The sequence below is a fragment of the Homo sapiens genome, chromosome 9 (genome assembly GCF_000001405.40).
Source record: "Homo sapiens chromosome 9, GRCh38.p14 Primary Assembly".
Lineage (NCBI taxonomy): Eukaryota > Metazoa > Chordata > Mammalia > Primates > Hominidae > Homo > Homo sapiens.
This window is the reverse complement of record NC_000009.12, coordinates 72012821-72032187: the sequence shown is the minus strand read 5'-3', so window position 1 is coordinate 72032187 and position 19367 is coordinate 72012821. Positions and strand designations below refer to the sequence as shown.

General features: G+C 42.5%; 1 long non-coding RNA gene across 2 annotated transcripts in view, besides 1 other annotated feature; it reads right to left on the bottom strand.

The window, feature by feature from the left end:
* The window catches only part of LOC101927108 (uncharacterized), a 60297-nt gene extending 58165 nt beyond the window's left edge, over positions 1-2132 (bottom strand). Inside the window, exon 1 of one of the 2 annotated variants that reach the window (XR_001746719.1) lies at positions 2007-2132. This is a non-coding gene — a long non-coding RNA (uncharacterized LOC101927108). The remainder of the gene's footprint in view (positions 1-2006) is intronic. The other variant, XR_001746720.2, reaches the window with a different exon arrangement.
* Positions 6861-7155: an enhancer, noted in NCBI's record as "tiled region #3495; HepG2 Activating DNase matched - State 12:CtcfO". NCBI's record gives its function as "activates a minimal TATA promoter and a strong SV40 promoter by Sharpr-MPRA in HepG2 cells {active_cell/tissue: HepG2}" and the evidence as "EXISTENCE:reporter gene assay evidence [ECO:0000049][PMID:27701403]".

Sequence of the window (19367 nt, the reverse complement as noted above, 5' to 3'; positions counted from 1 at the left end):
TCTGGAAGGGTCCTGCCCCTTAAATGCTATAACTCTCCTCTTGGCAAGACTCCAGAGCTGCTTTTTTTTTTTATTTTTTCAATTTAAGCATTTTAGTGGATTAATAACAAGAACACCTAAGATGCTGCTGACCTTAGGTTTGGGCATTTCACTTCGGGTTGGTAAAAGGCCTGCTATTTTGTCCAATTTAATAGATAGGATCTTGTTTTTTGTTTTCTTTTTTTTTTTTTTGAGACGGAGTTTCACTCTTGTTGCCCAGGCTGGAGTGCAATGGCACAATCTTGGCTCACCTGAACCTCCACCTCCTAGGTTTAAGCAATTCTCCTGCCTTATCCTCCTGAGTAGCTGGGATTACAGGCAGGTGCCACCATGCCCGGTTAATTTTGTATTTTTAGTAGAGACGGGTTTTCTCCATGTTGGTCAGGCTAGTCTTGAACTCCCGACCTCAGGTGATCTGCCTGCCTCGGCCTCCCAAAGTGCTGGGATTACAGGCATGAGCCACTGCTCCTGGCCCAGACAGTATCTTTTTGAAGGTCCTAAGAGGTGGCAGAATGTAAAGCAAAGAGCATGAATTTGGCCACTGGGCCCATCTGGATTGGATTCCCAGCTCTCTGAGCAGCCTTGGGGCAGTTTTTTTTCTTTTTGTTTTTGTTTTGAGATGGAATCTCACTGTGTCACCCAGGCTGAAGTGCAGTGGTGCCATCTCAGCTCACTGCAAGCTCCGCCTCCCAGGTTCACGCCATTCTCCTGCCTCAGCCTCCCGAGTAGCTGGGACTACAGGCAACTGCCACCATGCCCAGCTATTTTTTTTTTTCTATTTTTAGTAGAGACAGTGTTTCACCTTGTTAGCCAGGATGGTCTCGGTCTTGACCATGATCATGATCTGCCTGCCTCGGCCTCCCAAAGTGCTGGGATTACAGGTGTGGGCCACCACGCCTGGCCTCCTTGGGAAAGTTATTTATACTCTCTAAAGAGTATAAATTCTATTAACTAACATATGAGGAGGCTAATAATGGGCACATTGTCCGGCTGGGTCATAAATAATTTGTATAGCACTCCTGTACATGAGCCACTTAATAAATAGCAGCCTATTATATGGTTGAAATTGTGTGCTCTAGAGTTCTTGCTACTTACTGGTTGTATAATCTTTGGCAAATTATTAACCTCTCTAAGCCTCAGTTTCCTTATCTGTAAAGCTGGAATAATGACAATACCTTCCAGCTGTAAGTACATTGACCTCTTTCTATTCATCAGACATACCAAGCTTCTTTTTATCTCAGGAACTTTGTTCTTTCCTCTGCCTGTAATGCTCTCTTAAAGACCGTTTTGTTTGCTTATTGGTTTGGTTGGTTGGTTGGTTGGTTGGTTAGTTGGTTGGTTGGTTGGTTGGTTTGTAAAACATTTAGAACAGTGTCTGGCACATAGTAAGCTCTCCATAAGCTTGAGCTATTGCAGTAGTCACCATTATCTCTTAACCCCCAAAGCTAGCTGAATTCCTGCTGCATATACAGATCCACTAAGAAATCTGTTTCTCCAGGACACACCCACATGTGCACTCCAACTCTATCATGCACTTAGAATATTTACAAATAAAATAACCCATCCATCTCTCATTCTTACCATGAATCTTACTTTGCTCTGGGCTGGTATACAGGAAAAAAAGCACCTTGGGACTTTGAAGATCCAGCTTTCAGGCTCTGCTCAGACCCTTACTAGGTGACCCTTGAATCCATCACATAAATTTTCAGGATCTTCTTTTCTTTATCTTTAAGTACTAATTACCCCACTATTTGTTTAGAGGATTAAATAAGTAATATAGTTTTTATAAATGTAAATCATATTGAGTCACTCACCTGTTCAATGGCTCTCCTTTATCCTTGGAATAAAATCTCAGCTCCTTATCATGGCCTTGGCCTGAGGGACCTCACCCACCTATTCCCTCCCACTCCCTCCACTGTAAGTACATTGACATCTTTCTCTTCCTCAAACACACCAAGTTTACTCACAGCCCAGGAATTTCCTCTTGCATTTTCTTCTACCTGTAATAGTCTTCCTCTGGATGGTTTCAAAATTGGCTGGTTGGTTGATTGGTTGGTTTGTTGGTTGGGTGGGTGGATGGTTGGTTAGTTGGCTGATTGATTGGGCGGGTGGATGGTTGGTTGGTTGGCTGGTTGGTTGGGCAGGTGGGTGAGTGGTTGGTTGGCTGGTTGGGTGGGCAAGTGATTGGCTGGTTGGTTGATCAGTTGGTTGGCTGGGTGGGTGGGTGGTTTGCCTTGTGTACTCAGGTATCTGGTCAAATACGCATCTTCAGAGAGGCTTCCCTTGCCTGTCTGGTTAAGTGGTGTTATCCTCAGTTGCTTCCATCACATAGTCCTCTTCTGTTTTCCTCACTGTACTTATGAACATCTGAATTTATTTTGTTTACTTATTTTTTTAAAACAATTCACTCTGAAGGCAGGGACCATGTCTGTTGGTTTACTGCTCTCTTCCCAATGTCCAGACAGTGCCTGGCCTATGGGCCTCACTAAATATTTGTGCTTAAGTGTACTTTTTTGGTAATAAGTGTGCTTACATAAGAAGGCAGGTATACTGAAGGATGTATTACAGGGACTGGCTGTCGCCAAGAGAGGACAGCAGCTCTACAAGTTACAGACACCTTCCTTCTTAGGGATGCCTAGAAGGAAGTATCACTTCAGATAAAAATGTTACCAGAAAGGAGCCCCCATCCAGGCCCCAAAAGAGGGTTCTTGGACCTCAGTCAAGAACTTGGGGCGAGTTCATAGAGTGAAGTGTAAGCAACTTTATTAAGAAAGTAAAGGAAGAAAAGAATGGCTACTCCATAGGCAGAGCAGAGGCATGGGCTACTCAACAGAGTATACTTATAGTTCTTTCTTGATTATATGCTAAACAAGGGGTGGATTATTCATGAGTTTGCCGGGAAAGGGCAGTCAATTCCCAGAACTAAGGGTTCCTCCACCTTTTAGACCATATAGGGTAACTTTCTGACATTGCCATGGCATTTGTAAACTGTCATGGTGCTGGTGGGACTGTCTTTTAGCATGCTAATGCATTATAATTAGTGTATAGTGGGCAGTGAGGATGACCAGAAGTCACTTTTGTTGCCATCTTGGTTTTAGTGGGTTTTGGCCGGCTTCTTTACTGCATCCTGTTTTATCAGCAGGGTCTTTGTGACCTGTATCTTGTGATACCAGTCCTGCTGACTTCCTATCCCATCCTGGACTAAGAATGTCTGACCTCCTGGGAATTCAGCCCAGTCAGTCTCAGCCTTATTTTATCCAGCCCCTATTCAAGAGGGAGTCACTCAGGTTTGAACACCTCTGAAAAAGCAGGTGAATAGCTGGGTATGGAAAAGTTCTCTCATGAAGAGAAGAGCTGTGAACCTCAAAACAAGGAAGAGAGCCCTTCATAGCACCCATAAAGAGACAGCAACTACTTGACAGAGAAAACAGACCCAGGGGAGACCATGTGGAAGACATCAAGTATAGGTTCAAAGAAGGAACAAAAAGGTATTGCAAATTGGATTTGACATTGTTAACAGCCACCTACCAGGGGGATTTGCTGTGGGAAGGGTCTGCCCCGCCCCTGCAGGAAAGGGTTTGTTTGTCTGCTTTTTATTACTTGACTTTTTTTTTTTTTTTTTTTTGAGACGGAGTCTCGCTGTGTTGCCCAGCCTGGAGTGCAGTGGCGCGATCTCAGCTCACTGCAAGTTCTGCCTCCCAAGTTCATGCCATTCTCCTGCCTCAGCCTCCCAAAGAGCTGGGATTACAGGCGTGAGCCACCACGCCCGGCCTTATCACTTGACTTTTAATCAGCTTTATTATTATTGCTAAATTTTCTACAGACAGGCAGCTTCTATTGCCTATATCTAGGGTTCACCCTTCTTCCCCATTCCCCATTTTCTTAGACCACTCAATTGGAAACAAAATATTCCCTGGCATGTTTTTATCAACAGATTCACTCTCACCCGGACCTTACTCATGATTCTTGATATGTCCATAAAGCACCTGGGTATTGGATTTTCCCACTGTAAGAGTGCCATTACTGAGACCGTGACTTGGTTCTTACAAAATTACTCTGAAAAGGCAACAATATAGGGGATATCTGGTAAACAGAACCCTTTGAGAAGCAAGTCCTTCCTAGACTGTGTTACTCACTTTATTGACTTTTTGGGGAATGGTTTGATGATATTATTTAATGATGACGCTTGCTTTCACCCCCAAAGTCATCTACAAACTTGATTCATTTTCAGACACTGCAATAGTGGCACAGATGAAAATATTTAAAGGGGTAAGAGAATCTTCTTTCAACTTGATCCTGCTTCCTAGATATGGTAATTGATTCACCTGTTTTGGGCCACTCACACCTGGGTTTTGTTCCTTCTTTTATGGAAGCTGTGTCCAGAAAGCACAGCTTGATCCAGGGTCAATTCCACTCGATGGTTTCTGCATATTGGCTCCTCTGTTGGTCTTCCTAGCCTCAGGACCTTTGCACTTCCTCTTCCTTCCTTTTGCCTGAGACAGGCTCTTCCCAAATCTTTAAATGACGGCTCCTTCTCATCATCCAGGGATTGGCTCAAATGTTATCTCCTAAACAGATTATCTCACTGGAAAGTAAATTCCCTGAGAGCAGAGACCTTGCCTATTCATCCGCTCTATCATCCTGCTCCTAGAACAATGCCTGACCCATAGTAGCTGCTCAATAAATATTAATTTATTCATCGACTGGCATATGAGTTCAGGTTTCTTGCTTGTCTGTTTAGATTTGCAATTCTGTTTTGTCAAGATCTCTAATATCTATATACTTTATCAATAATCTATTTAGCTTCAAGTTAAGAGCATTGACTTTGGTGTCTACCAGACCTACATTTTATATTTATTTATTTATTTATTTTTAGATGGAATCTCACTGTGTCACCTAGGCTGGAGTGCAGTGGCGCGATCTCAGCTCACCGCAACCTCCGCCTCCCAGGTTCAGGTGATTCTCCTGCCTCAGCCTCCTGAGTAGCTGGGATTACAGTCACACACCACCATGCCCAGCTAATTTTTGTATTTTTAGTAGAGACGAGATTTCACCATATTGGCCAGGATGGTCTCGATCTCCTAACCTTGTGATCTGCCCACCTCAGCCTTCCAAAGTGCTGGGATTACAGGTGTAGGCCACTGTGCATGGCCCAGACCTACATTTTAATATTGGCTTCAGCCAGGTATGGTGGCATGACTATAGTCCCAGCTATTTGGGAGGCTGAGGAGGGAGGATTGCTTGATCCTAAGAGTTCAAGACCAGCCTGGGCAACATAGTGAAACCTTGTCTTTGACATTTTTAGCTATATAACCTTGGGCAAGCCGGGCGCGGTGGCTCACACCTGAAATCCCAGCACTTTGGGAGACCGAGGCGGGTGGATCACGAGTCAGAAGATCGAGATGATCCTGGTTAACACGGTAAAACCCCATCTCTACTAAAAAAATACAAAAAACTTAGCCAGGCGTGGTGGTGGGCGCCTGTCCAGCTACTCGGGAGGCTGAGGTAGGATAATGGTGTGAACCGGGGAGGCAGAGCTTAGAGTGAGCCGAGATCGTGCCACTGCACTCCAGCCTGGGTGACAGAGTGAGACTCCATCTCAAAATAAAATAAAATAAATAACCTTGGGCAAATTATTTAACCCCTCTGTGCCTCCATTTCCTCATTCTAAATTTTTACAAATAACAATACTTTCTCCATAAACTGATTTAAGAATTAAATAAAATATAATATGTAAAAAGCTTAGTGCAAGGTTTGGCACATGATAAGATCTCAAGCAATACAACTGATTGATATTATAGATAAATGTCATTATTATTATTTGTGCCACTTTTTTCAAGTGCACTTTGCCCTAGGAACAGTGTGACTTAATGAACTTACCAGCTGATGACTCTGTTCCATCAAGGGCACGTTCTATACAGTTCAACTCCCACGTGTTTATTAAGCAGCCACTATGAGTAAATCTTAAAGCATGGGTGGGGTTTTGAGAGGCTAGAGATGGACATGTAAGGGCATCTCACATTGAAAGGAACTGCACAAAGGAAGACAGAGGTAGAAAGTTCCAAGAACAGCAAATAGTTCAACACAGCTAGACCACGCATAATATTCAGCCACTTACTCATTTTTAAAACAATTTCCAACCAGCTATGATTAACAGGCACTGTGCTAAATGCTGGGATAAGCAGGAACAGAATGTGGTGCCTGCCCTTAAAAGCTTGGTTTAGAGGAGAGACATAGTTGTCAACACTGTGTGGCCTGCCGCTGTTGCATGAGCTATGCCACATGAACACAAAAGCAAGCAAGCAGCATTTTTCATGCAGGGAGGAAGAGAGAGAGAGCTGAGAATGAGGGCTGGACCCATTGCAGAGGCCTTAAAGACTAGGCTGAGATGACTGTTTAATGAAGAACCAGTAAAAACGTTTTGAATAGGGGAATGATATGAACACTTGAACTGGAAAAAGCAAATAGAACAGTATTTATTTTAGAACACACCCATATTCACCCATGCTGAGAGCCTGGACTATTATAAAGAAAACAAGGCCGGGTGCGGTGGCTCACGCCTATAATCCCAGCACTTTGGGAGGCCAAGCTGGGTGGATCATTTGAGGTCAGGAGTTCGAGACCAGCCTGGCCAACATGGTGAAACCCCGTCTCTACTAAAAATACAAAAATTTGCTGGGAGGCTGAGACAGGCGAATCGCTTGAACCCGGGAGGTGTAGGTTGCTGTGAGCCGAGATCACACCACTGCATTCCAGCCTGGTGACAGAGCGATGCCCTGTCTCAAAAAAAAAAAAAAAGAAAAAAAAAAACCAGCAATATCCTTTAATTAAATCAAGTCAGGATCTCTAAAGTTGACCACCATAGAAGTCTCTTTGCATGAGAAGGGACAACAGGACTCGGAAACCTAGACTCTTGCTCCTTTCTCTGGATGCAGCTGCTTTTCTATGGCTGCTGTGATCACGTGGCCTCCAGAGGGCGCTGTCCCCTGCAGCTCTTCAGATCAAGCTGTGGTTTTTAACCCTGAGCAGCATCGGAATCCCCTGGACGGCTTTCATCATTCGGTCTCACACCAGAGTTCCTGATCAGTAGATGTGGGTGACACACAGGAACCTGCATTACTCCCGAGTCCCCAGGGAGATGCTGCTGCTGCTGCTGCTGGCCCTGAGACCACACTGTAAGAACCCTGCTCCCAAGGATCTAAGGCCCTTCTTTATGTCTTCAGGAGCAGGGCCAGAACTTTAAAAGGAAACCTTACTAAAAATAATGAGGATATATATATATCCTCATTATTTTTATATATTATAAAATATATAATATATATTCTCATTATTTTTATATATTATAAAATATATAATATATATGTGTGTATGTATATATACATAGACCCATATATTGATTGGGTCTAGCTCTGTTGTGTGTGTGTTTTTTTCCAAGTGTTTTTTTCCAAATGTGTATGTGTGTGTGTGTATATATATATACACACACACACATACACATTTGGAAAAAAACACACACACAACAGAGCTAGACCCAATCATATAATATTGCTTATTCTTTGTGCCTCTGAGCTCTGAGAATCACCTGAGCTCTGGTTTTCTGATTGAGAATTGGCCCCTCTTCCCCAGCTCCCTGCTTTAGGGCAGATGAATACCCCTCATGAATAACATAAGAGGTTTTATCCACTGGCCTTCACAGGAACAAAGCCAGTGAGAGCGTTACACAGAATACAACACAAGAACTGTGTAACCTGAATGAGGAACATACATATAAAATAGCAGAAAGCTTTTATTTCCTTAACAGTTGATATAGTTTGGATGCTGGCCCCACCCTAATCTCACATTGAAGTGTAATCTCCAGTGTTGGAGGTGGGACCTGGTGGGAGGTGATCGGATCACGGGGGTGGATTTCTCAGGAATAGTTTAGCAACATCCTCTTGGTCCCATCCTCATCATAGTGATTTCTCGCAAGATCTGGCTGTTTAAAAGTGAGGCACCTGTCTCTCTCTCTCTCTCTCTTGCTCCTGTTCTCACCAGGCAATGTGCCTGCTCCCACTTTGCCTTCCACCATGATTAGAAGCTTCTAGAGGCCTCCCCAGAAGCAGATGCCACTATGCTTCCTGTACAGCCTGCAGACCATGAGTCAATTATACCTCTTTTCTTATAAATTATCCAGTTTCTTTATAGCAGTGCAAGAATGGCCAAATACAACAGTGTTTCATTTATTTTGTAGCACCCACCAATTCCTAGGGCAGAGTTTGTACCTGATGAGTGCCTAATAAATGTCTAAAGTGAATTGAATTATAAGACGCAACATTTCTTCATGCATAGAAACACAACCTACTTTATTGATGTTACTCGTTTGTTCTCATCTACCTATATTTATCTGATGAACTTTGAATCGTTTATTACTTTTAACATTGCTACAGCTTCCCAGATAGCACAGCTTAATAAATACCCATTCATTCTTTCTTTCTTTTTTTTTTTTTTTTTTTTTTGAGATGGAGTTTCACTCTTGTACCCCAGGCTGGGGTGCAATGGCACAGTCTCGGCTCACTGCAACCTCCACCTCTCGGGTTCAAGTGATTCTCTTGCCTCAGCCTACCAAGTGCTGGGATTCCAGGCATGCGCCACTACACCCGGCTAATTTTTGTATTTTTAGTAGAGACGGGGTTTCACCATGTTGGCCAGGCGGTCTCGAACTCCTGACCTCAGGTGATCTGCCCGCCTTGGCCTCTCAAAGTTTGCAAACAGCTACTCAATTTTTATTTTTTTCTAATTTATTTGTTTTTGTTTCTCTCACCTGGTCTAGGAACAAGGAAATATTTTCAATGGTTTTATTCCTGGATGAGAATCCCAAGGCCACATTCTATTAGACTCAGCTTCTGAATGGTCTTTTAAACACAAACATGGCTGCATGAAGTTCATGTCACAAATTTGATGTCATGAAAGAGAAATTTAGTTCATTAGTCACCTGGGGTGGATAAGACGGGTAGACACTGCATATATAAAGGAATAATCCATGAGTGATTGAGGCTAAAAGTAATCCTCTTCAGAACTAGGTCAAGCAGTTTATATAGGGTTTGGATGGTGAGTCAGCCTGGAGAGGCTTGGACTTCTAGGATGAGGAACTTGTGAGGGGTGTGTGTGTGTGTGTGTGTGTGTGTGTAGCTTGGTTAAAATAGTGATTCATCTTTCTGGAAGAGCCTCTGTCTCTCGCTCTCTTTGTCTTTTTCTCTTTTTTCTCTCATGCTCTCTTCTTCTCATTCTCACACATTTGCTCTTGTTCTCACGCTTTCTAGAACAACTCTTTCTCTCTCTCAGGCCTGCTTTGACTCCTGTTTCTTTCTGGCACCCCTTTTTAAGAACTAGTGCGAGGCTTTTGCCTGAGACATGACAGAGCAGGTGTGTTAGTCTATTCTGACACTGCTATAAAGAAATACCTGAAACTGGATAATTTATAAAGAGAAGAGGTTTAATTGACTCATGGTTCTACATGCTGTGCAGGAAGCATAGCTGGGGAGGCCTCAGGAAACTTATAATCATGGCAGAAGGTGAAGGGGAAGCAGGCACATCTTTACATGGCTACAGCAGGAGGAAGAGAGAGAGTGGGGAGGTGCCACACACGTTTAAACAACAGATATCATGATAACTCATTCATTATCACGAGAACAGCACCAAATGGGAAACCCACCCCCATCATCCAATCACTTCCCACCAGGCTTCACCTCCCATATTGGGGATTATAATTGGACATGAAATTTGGATGGGGACACAGACCCAAACCATATCAGCAGGGGAGGGAAAAGAAGTGGTGAGCCCAAGGCCACCCCTGGTGGGACTTGATCTGAGTCCCCATTGTTACTCCTCCACCCATTCCACCTGCTGTCCTGTCCTGCCCTATTTGGACTCCAAACAGGTTCACAGAGAAGCTTTCACGGGCATCTAGACACTACTGTCATCTCCTGTCATCCACCCTCATATCTTCCTATGCATGCTTTAGTCTATGTTTTGAGGATCCCTGGGCCTTTGGAAATATGAGGGAGCTTTGCTGGTCCTCTATCTGCATGGGGAAGACAACAACAATAAATAAATAAGAAGGAACACATAAGAGGATCATAGATAATGTCAAAGGGTAACTGGTAATTGTATAGCTTTAAGGGAGAAGTTTTATGCCTATTTTTCTTTCAAAAGCAACCTATGGTCTTCACAAGCCCTGGCACTGAAATAAACATGAAACTAATAATTAAGCACAGGTTTCTAAGCTGTAGTTTATGATCTTTGGCAAGATAATGATCCAAGGGAGACACGGTACAAAAATAAGAGAGAATAGGTAGGCCGGGCGCGGTGGCTCATGCCTGTAATCCCAGCACTTTAGGAGGCCGAGGCGGGCGGATTACCTGTGGTCAGGAGTTTGAGACCAGCCTGGCCAACATAGTGAAACCCCGTCTCTACTAAACATACAAAAATTAGCCGAATGTGGTGGCAGTTACCTGTAATCCTAGCTACTCAGGAGGCTGAGGTAGGAGAATCGCTTGAACCCAGGAGGCAGAGGGTGCAGTGAGCCAAGGTCACACCGTTGTACTCCAGCCTGGGGGACAAGAGTGAGACTTCATCTCAAAAAAAAAAAAAAAAAAAAAAAAAAAACTAGGTCAGACATGGCGGTTCACGCCTGTAATCCCAGCACTTTGGGAGGCCAGGGCAGGTGGATCACCTGAGGTCAGGAGTTCGAGACCAGCCTGGCCAACATGGTGAATCCCCATCTCTACTAAAAATACAAAAATTAGCCAGGCGTGGTGGCAGCCACCTGTAATCTCAGCTACTCAGGAGGCTGAGGAAGGAGAATCACTTGAGCCCAGGAGGCGGAGTTTATAGTGAACCGAGATTGTGTCACTGTACTCCAGCCTGGGCAACAGAGTGAAAAAAATACAAATAAAAATAAATTAAAAAGTAAAAAATAAAAATGTAAAAAAAAAATTTTTTTTTTGAAATGGAGTTTTGCTCTTGTTGCCCAGGCTGGAGTGCTGTGGCACAATCTTGGCTCACTGTAACCTCTGCCTCCTGGGTTCAAGGCAATTCTCCTGCCTCAGCCTCCCAAGTAGCTGGGATAACAGGCGTGTGCCACCACGCCTGGCTAATTTTGTATTTTTAGTAGAGACAGGGTTTTCACCATGTTGGTCAGGCTGCTCTCGAACTCCTGACCTCAAATGACCCACCTGCCTTTGCCTCCCAAAGTACTGGGATTACAGGCATGAGTTGCTGCATCCGGCTTTTAAAAAAAATTCAAAAAAAAATTTTTTTAATTAAAATTAAAATAAAGAATAAAATAAAAATAAATAAACATGTCATTGGATACCCGTAATACTTTAGTGAGAAAATGGGTTTCATTTTATGCATAAAGAAACTGAAGTTCAGACAAGGTAGATGATACACCTATAATTACACAACAAGAACCTGTAACTAGATAGAGCCCAGTCCTTCTAACTTACAGCCTAGTATGCTTACAAGTACATATGGGCAAACTGTTGACCTTCATAAAACTTAAGACATATAATCATACCATTCAAAATCCCCCCAGAAGGTTACATCTAAATTTATATTCACCTATAGAAAACAGTCTTATTATTGGAAAAAAAAAATAAGGGTGCTTGGATTTTCTCCCTACAAAGACAATAACATGTGAAGGTGAAAGAAAGATGACACTCAATAACTAGATGTTTAGTTCAAAAACAATTAGCCAAAGCAAATACTTTTTATACTATAACTTCTTCTCAATCTTTCTTTATAGGATGTTTTATTGGTTTTGAATCAAGAATAGTTAGATATTTGTGGAAATCTTCAAGTAGAAAAAACAGGTGGGTGCACACACACCTACACACCCTCAGAGGAAAACCACTGTAATGCAAGAAACAGAATAAAATATACATCTTATTTTATTCTGTTTTATTTTATTCTGTTCTCTTTTATTCAGTTATTTTATAAGTAACTGTCACTACTTTTAGCAAGACACAAGATATTCCACCCATAAAAAGTAAACAGGATGCTATAAAAAAGACATTGAGAAAAATGAAAAGTTCTTTAAAACACAAAGTATGACTAACAAAATTTAAAATTCAATAGAAGAGTTGGACAATGAAAATTAAGTAAGTCTTCCAGAAGGTAAAACAATAATAGACAAAGAGATAGAAATAAAAGGACAAGAGACTTAGAGGAGAAATCAAAGTAATTCTAGAAAAAGTAAACAGATAAGTTGAAAGGAATCAAATTATCAAGGACTAATACCTCCCAACAAAAAGCAATCCAGAGTACAAGAATGTAAGTCTCCACTTGGAAGGAGGTCACCAACAGTCCAATTTAAACAAACGAAAATAAATTTTAGAGAAACAAAGTGAATAAAAGATTCTAAAGTCACTTTCGGAAAGGAAAAACAGGTCACACACAAAGGGTGGGGGAACCGAAAGGACATTTAATGCTCAACAGCAACACTGAGAGGTGTTAGGACAATTACTTCAAAATCTTTAAGGAACCATGCCTGCCAAATCCTATATCAAATTACAAATCAAATGTGAAGATTAAATAAGGACACTTATAGACATCCACGGGCTCTAAAAATTTACCTCATGTGTCCTTAAGGAAACCATTGAAGAATATGCTTCAGCAAAATAAAGGAATTATAACCAAAACAAAAAAACAAAAAAACAAAAAAACCCAAAAACCAAAAACCAGAAAAACCCAAGGCAGCATGAGATACAGAAAACAGAACCTACACAGGGCAGCAGCAAAGGGAAATCTCAGAATTGAGCGATGGGCTCGAGGCCTACTCAGTCCCCGAATGGAACAAGAGGATGGAACACATACTAATTAATCTAGAATCACATACTCGGTAAAACTCTTTGCTTTTTCAGAGAAACAAAGACTAAAATTTTTTGTCATCAAAATAACCTCTCTAAACAAACATTAAAAGACAGTCCTGAAGATGGAAAATATTCATAAAAGACAGAAGGAGATTGAGTGAGAGTGGTGGGGAGTGAGCTCACATGCTGGTGTTAAATAAGTGCAAACACATAGAGACTGGCTGTATAAATCAGTAATAATGAAGTCTAACTTTAGGGAAAAAAAGAGAAGAAGATAGAGCTAAAACCCTGACAACAATAATGTGCAAGAGGGCTGGGCGCGGTGGCTGATGCCTGTAATCCCAGCAATTTGGGAGGCCGAGGGAGGTGGATCACCTGAGGTCTGGAGTTTGAGACTAGCTGGCCAACATGGTGAAACCCCATCTCTACTGAAAATACAAAAAAATTAGCTGGGTGGGGTGGCACACTCCCGTAATCCCAGCTACTTGGGAGGCTGAGGTAGGAGAGTCACTTGAACCCAGGAGGCGGAGGTTGTAGTGAGCCGAGTGCCACTGCACTCTAGCCTGGGCAACAAGAGTGAAACTCCGTTTCAAAATAAATAAATAAATAAATAAATAATAATAATAATAATAATAATGTTCAAGACAAATGGAGACATTCCAAGGTCCTTGAATTTAGGTGGAGGAGAGTAGAGATACTGAATAACTTAGATAAGTATTAAGTACACATATTAAGCTTTTTTTTTTTTTTGAGACAGAGTCTTGCTCTGCCGCCCAGGCTGGAGTGCAGTGGCACAATCTCAGCTCACTGCAAGCTCACACCATTCTCCTGCCTCGGCCTCCTGAGTAGCTGGGACTACAGGCACCTGCCACCATGCCCAGCTAATTCTTTGTATTTTTACTAGAAATGGGGTTTCACCGTTTGTTAGCCAGGATAGTCTCGATCTCCTGATCTCGTGATCTGCCCGCCTCAGCCTCCCAAAGTGCTGGGATTACAGGCGTAAGCTACCGCACCCGGCCACATATTAAGCTTTTAAGGGTTAAAAGGAAATAACTGAAACTTCATGCTTTATTTGAAGTAAGAACTGTACTTAAGAGTAACCAAAGAGCCATAGCCAAAAGGAAAGCTATTCCTTATCGAAGAATTCCAGCTAATGCATGCAGAAGAAATAAACAATTAGAAAGTCCCCAGTTTGTTCCCTCCTAATGAAGAAAAATGAGTACCAAAAGGTGCTAAAACCATTATAGATGAAAAGTTGAAGAACATCTCATGTTTACAAAGTAACAAAGTAAGGCCAGGCGCGGTGGCTCATGCTTGTAATCCCAACACTTTGGGAGACTGAGGCGGGCAGATCACCTGAGGTCAGGAGTTCGAAGATAGCCTGGCCAACATGGTGAGTACTCATCTCTACTGAAAATACAAAAAACTAGCTGGGCATGGTGGTGGGTGCCTGTAATCCCAGCTACTTGGGAGGCTGAGGCAGGAGAATGGCTTGAAACTGTGAGGCAGAGGTTTCAGTGAGCCAAGATCGTGCCATTGCACTCCAGCCTGGGTGACAAGAACAAAACTTATCTCAAAATAAAAAAAAAGAACAAGTGGGGCCGGGAGCGGTGGCTCACACCTGTAATCCCAGCACTTTGGGAGGCCGAGGCAGGTGGATCATGAGATCAAGAGATCGAGACCATCCTGGCCAACATGGTGAAATCCTGTCTCTACTAAAAATACAAAAATTAGCTGGGTGTGGTGGCGCGCACCTGTAATCCCAGCTACTCGGCAGGCTGAGGCAGGAGAATCGCTTGAACCTGGGAGGCTGAGGTTGCAGTGAGCCGACATAGCACCACTGCACACCAGTCTGGTGACAGAGTGAGACTCCATCTCAAAAACAAACAAACAAAAAGTAACAAAGTATCACCTTGCCAATTACTTGTGAATCTAAACATTGCAATGAAGACATCGGGCTTAGCTCATCTGAACCCAGTGATGAATATTAGCATCACTATTAAGTGGAACAGGACACTATGTGCATCCCGAAGTAATGCAATGTGAAGTAAACTGCAATATCTATGATATATTCTTGGCCAAAATGTTTAAGTTGAATCTAATCAACACTTTAGCTCTCATTTCCAGTTTACATGAGATACAGGGGTTAGAAAAATAGGTTAAATAACACTACAAGGAAGCCATCAGGCAAATCTAGAATTTGAGACCTTCTACAAGACAATTGACCTGGTCTATACAATTAGGCAATATCATAAAAAGGAAAGGAAAGAAGAGATATTCTAGACTCCAAGAAGTTTAAGAGACATAAAACATGATGACCAAAAATGACATATAGACCAAAATTGGATGCTAGTTCACACCAAGCAGCAGTAAAAGCTATTTTAGAAACAACTGGAGGACTCTGAGTACTAATTGAAACATTTTATGTACTAAGTCACTCTCATGTACATTGTTGTTCATTATATCTTTCTTTATATTTCATAATGTGTTTTCAAAAGATAAAGAAATGAGAACATGTATCTACTCACAATCCCGTTCAAAATCCCACTGTAATGGCGGAAGAAATATTTGTAAATGAATGAACTCTTTTTTTTTTTTTTTTTTTTGAGACAGAGTCTTGCTCTGTCACTCAGGCTGGAGTGCAGTGGCGTGATCTCAGCTCACTGTAACCTCCATACCCTAGGTTTAAGCAATTCTCCTGCCTCAGCCTCCCAAGTAGCTGGGATTACAGGTGTGTGCTACCATGCCCGGCTAATTTTTGTATTTTTAGTAGAGACGGGGTTTCAGCATGTTGGCCAGGCTGGTCTCAAACTCCTGACCTCAGGTGATTCTCCCGCCTCGGCCTCCCAAAGTGCTGGGATTACAGGCGTGAGCCATCACGCCTGGCCTACGAATGAACTCTTTACAGCTCCAGAAACAACAACAAAAAAGAAATTCAAATTGGTGGACTAAAAATATTGGGGGTCCTCAGATTGATAGGGTAATAAGAGTAGAGAAACAACAGCTCAAAGAGAAGAGCAGTCCTGCAGTAATTCAAAGCTCATCGTCAGGACTTTGTGAAAGGAAAAGAAATCATGGGGCCCCCAAATCACTAAGCTAAAGAGAAAAGTCAAGCTGGGAACTGCTCAGGACCAACCTGCCTCAGGTTCTATTTCACCCCTCTGATCCAGAGAAAGATGCATATATTGATTGATGTCTCATGTCTCCCTAAAATGTATAAAACTAAGCTGTGCCATGACCACCTTGGGCACATGTCATCAGGATCTTCTGAGGCTGTGTCATGGGTGCGTCCTCAACCTTGGCAAAATAAACTTTCTAAATTAATGGAGATCTGTCTCAGATTTTCTGGGTTCACAACTTAAAGCACACCTCAGCTATTAACAACTAGAAAATCCTCCCAAGGCAATTGTTGAACAACTGATTTAATTAATGAATGAAATGATTAATTAATTGAGGCAATCAGCTCAGAATAACTGGGTCAGATTGGCCTTTCTCTTTCTTCTTGCATTTCCCTCCCAACACCTACCACCCCCCAGCCCCCAAATCCCCGTACCCTTCTTCCCACACTGAGCCATGGCCAGCAAAGGATTTTGAGAGAGATATTAAAACTCACTGGTTTTCTCACCCTAAGATATGTAAAATACGGGCTGCATCAGGCTTACTGATCTATTTTGTTTGGCCTGAAGAGCACTTTATTTATTGAAAAATTTTAAATTAAAATCCAAGTTTTCAGTTTCTTTAAAACAAAACAAAACAAAACAAAACAAAAACACTAAGGCCAGGACACTGGGCCCCTCATTCTTGAATGACAACACATGCTAGACTGGAGTTTCTGCCCTTCAGGGGCTGAAGTTCCTGCCAATCAGCTCCAGTTCTTTGCCTGTCTGGCCCCTGCCAGCATTTTTGTTTTCTTCTTCTGCCCTAGATCCATGTTTTCTAGACTCTTCGGTAGTGCTTGATAAATATACAATTTCCCAGGCCTTTTCTCTGGAGGTCTGATTTGGTGGCTATTATGGGCTGAATCGTGTTCCCCCAAAATTCATATGTTGGAGTCCTTACCCCCGGTACCTCAGACTGTGACCTTATCAGAGGTTTAGGGGCTTTACCGAGATAATCAACTTAAAATGAGGTCATTAGGGTGAGACTCATCCAATATGACTGGTGTGCTTATAAAAAGGGGAAATTTGGACACAGAGACACACAGGCACAGACAGATGATGAGGTGAAGAGATGTAGTGGAAAGACAGGCAGCCATCCACAAGCCAAGGAGAGAGGCTTGGAACAGATCCTTCCCTCACAGCCCTCAGAAGGAATCAACCCCTACAATACCTTTCATCTTACACTTCTGGCCTCCAGAATTATGAGATGATATGTTTCTGCTGTTTAAACCACCCAGTTATGGTACTTCGTTATGGCAGCCTTAGCAAATGAATACAGCGGGTTTGGCACTGAGTCTAGAACTTTGTACACCAACACCTACATGGCTGCTGATAGGAATGACCTGTGGAGATTTACCAAAATACTGATTCCTGGGTTCCAGGTCTAAAGACTCTTGACCTCAGGTGATCCACCCACCTCAGCCTCCCAAAGTGCTGGGATTACAGGCATGAGCCACCATGCCTGGCCCAGAAATTTCTACTTCTAATTAAAAATAGGTGAATAAATTGGATTCTCTCTCTCTTTTTTTGAGATGGAGTCTCGCTCTGTCGCCAGGCTGGGGTGCAGTGGTGCAATCTCATCTCACTGCCACCTCCACCTCCCAGGTTCAAGTGATTCTCCTGTCTCTGCCTCCTGAGTAGCTGGGACGGCTAATTTTTTGTATTTTTAATAGAGATGGGGTTTCACCATGTTAGCCAGGATGGTCTCAATCTCCTGACCTCGTGGTCTGCCCGCCTCAGCCTCCCAAAGTGCTGGGATTACAGGTGTGAGCCACCGCACCCGGCCCTCCCTCTCTTTTTTTAAGTCAGGAAAGCATGATCAATTCACTTAACTCTATTTCAAAGATAATGAAAAGTAAAGCAACATCATCGCATATAAAACAGCTCTGGTGAGATGAGACAACGATGGGTGTAAGCTCCTATGAGTTCTCTTTGACATGTTTAATGAGACACCCTGGGTTAGGGATCCATTTCTCCCAGTGGCTTGAGGTTAATGGTTCCCTGCCATGTACACCATTATTACTTTATTATATATTTGTCACAGTTCCTGCCATTCAGTTTCCAAAAGGATCACATCTCATCTTTGAGAGTTCATCCATTCTTTCCATTTCACATTTACCAAGGGCCCAGTATATGCCAGACCCTATGCCAGGCACTCAGGGTGGAGTGGGGACCTAAACAAACTCACTCCCTGCCCTTGTGGAGCCTATAGCCTAGTTCATGAGAAGGTCAGTGAGATCCTAAAGAAAATTACATGATTTTACAAATTCCCTAAAGAAAAAACAAGATGCCAAAATGTAGTTTCTGGGGAAGGACACTTCAGATAAGGTGGTCAGGGATGATCTCTCTGAAAAAGGAATATTTGAGTTGAAACCTGTAGATTAAGAAGCCAAAGAGTTGGGGGACAGCAACCCAGGCACAGTTCACTGTTCATGCAGTTCCTCAAATGGGAATGAGCTTTGAGGCCAGCAAAGGCTGGTGTGGCTAAAACACTACAAGTAAAGGGAAGGAGCCTATCAAATGAGGGAGGGGTTGGACAGGCCACAGATCACACAGGCCTGAGTACCTTGGTAAAGAATCTGGTTTCTACTTTAAGATTAATGAAAAACCAAGGAAGTAGATAAACCCATTTCCCATTTAGGAAAAAAAAAAAAAAGTTCAGCTTGCTGCCAGTGCAGTCTCCTCAGGGCAAACAGGAAATGGGTTAAGCAGACAAGTCCTCCTCAGTCCGTTGTCAAATATCAACCCCACTTTCTCAAGAACCCACTGCCAGGAAGACCAGGCTATAAGCTGTAAGAATAAGGTATTGGGACTTTTAGCAAACATCATAGGTGGTTCTGATCCACCCTCAGTTAAGAATCACTGTGCTATTAATAGCAGATCAAAATCTCAGGGAGATGGTACATCCCATTATCTGATTCTCCTATGCCCATTGCTTTTTAAAAAAACTCACAAAAATAACAATCCAAGAAACAAATTGTTAAATTATTTACAACATAGATAAAACAATGAGTGGTATTAGCCTACCAACTTTCAGAAAAGTCGATCAAAAAATGGATATAACTTCTAGAGTTCAGTTCTAAAACCTGCTTCTAAGTTCTTCCTAGTTAAGAGAGGAGCTATAGAACCCTGGCTGAGTCATCTCCTTGGCTTGGCCTTAAGAAACCCCTGGGGACACTGTATCAAAAGATAAGAATCCCCAACAGGACTTCAAAATAAAAATATTCATCAACAGGTAGGCAGACTCTAATTTTCAGTAAATGTCACGTGGTTGAGAACACATCACCAGCTAGTACAAATTCCTGACCCCGAAACTGAA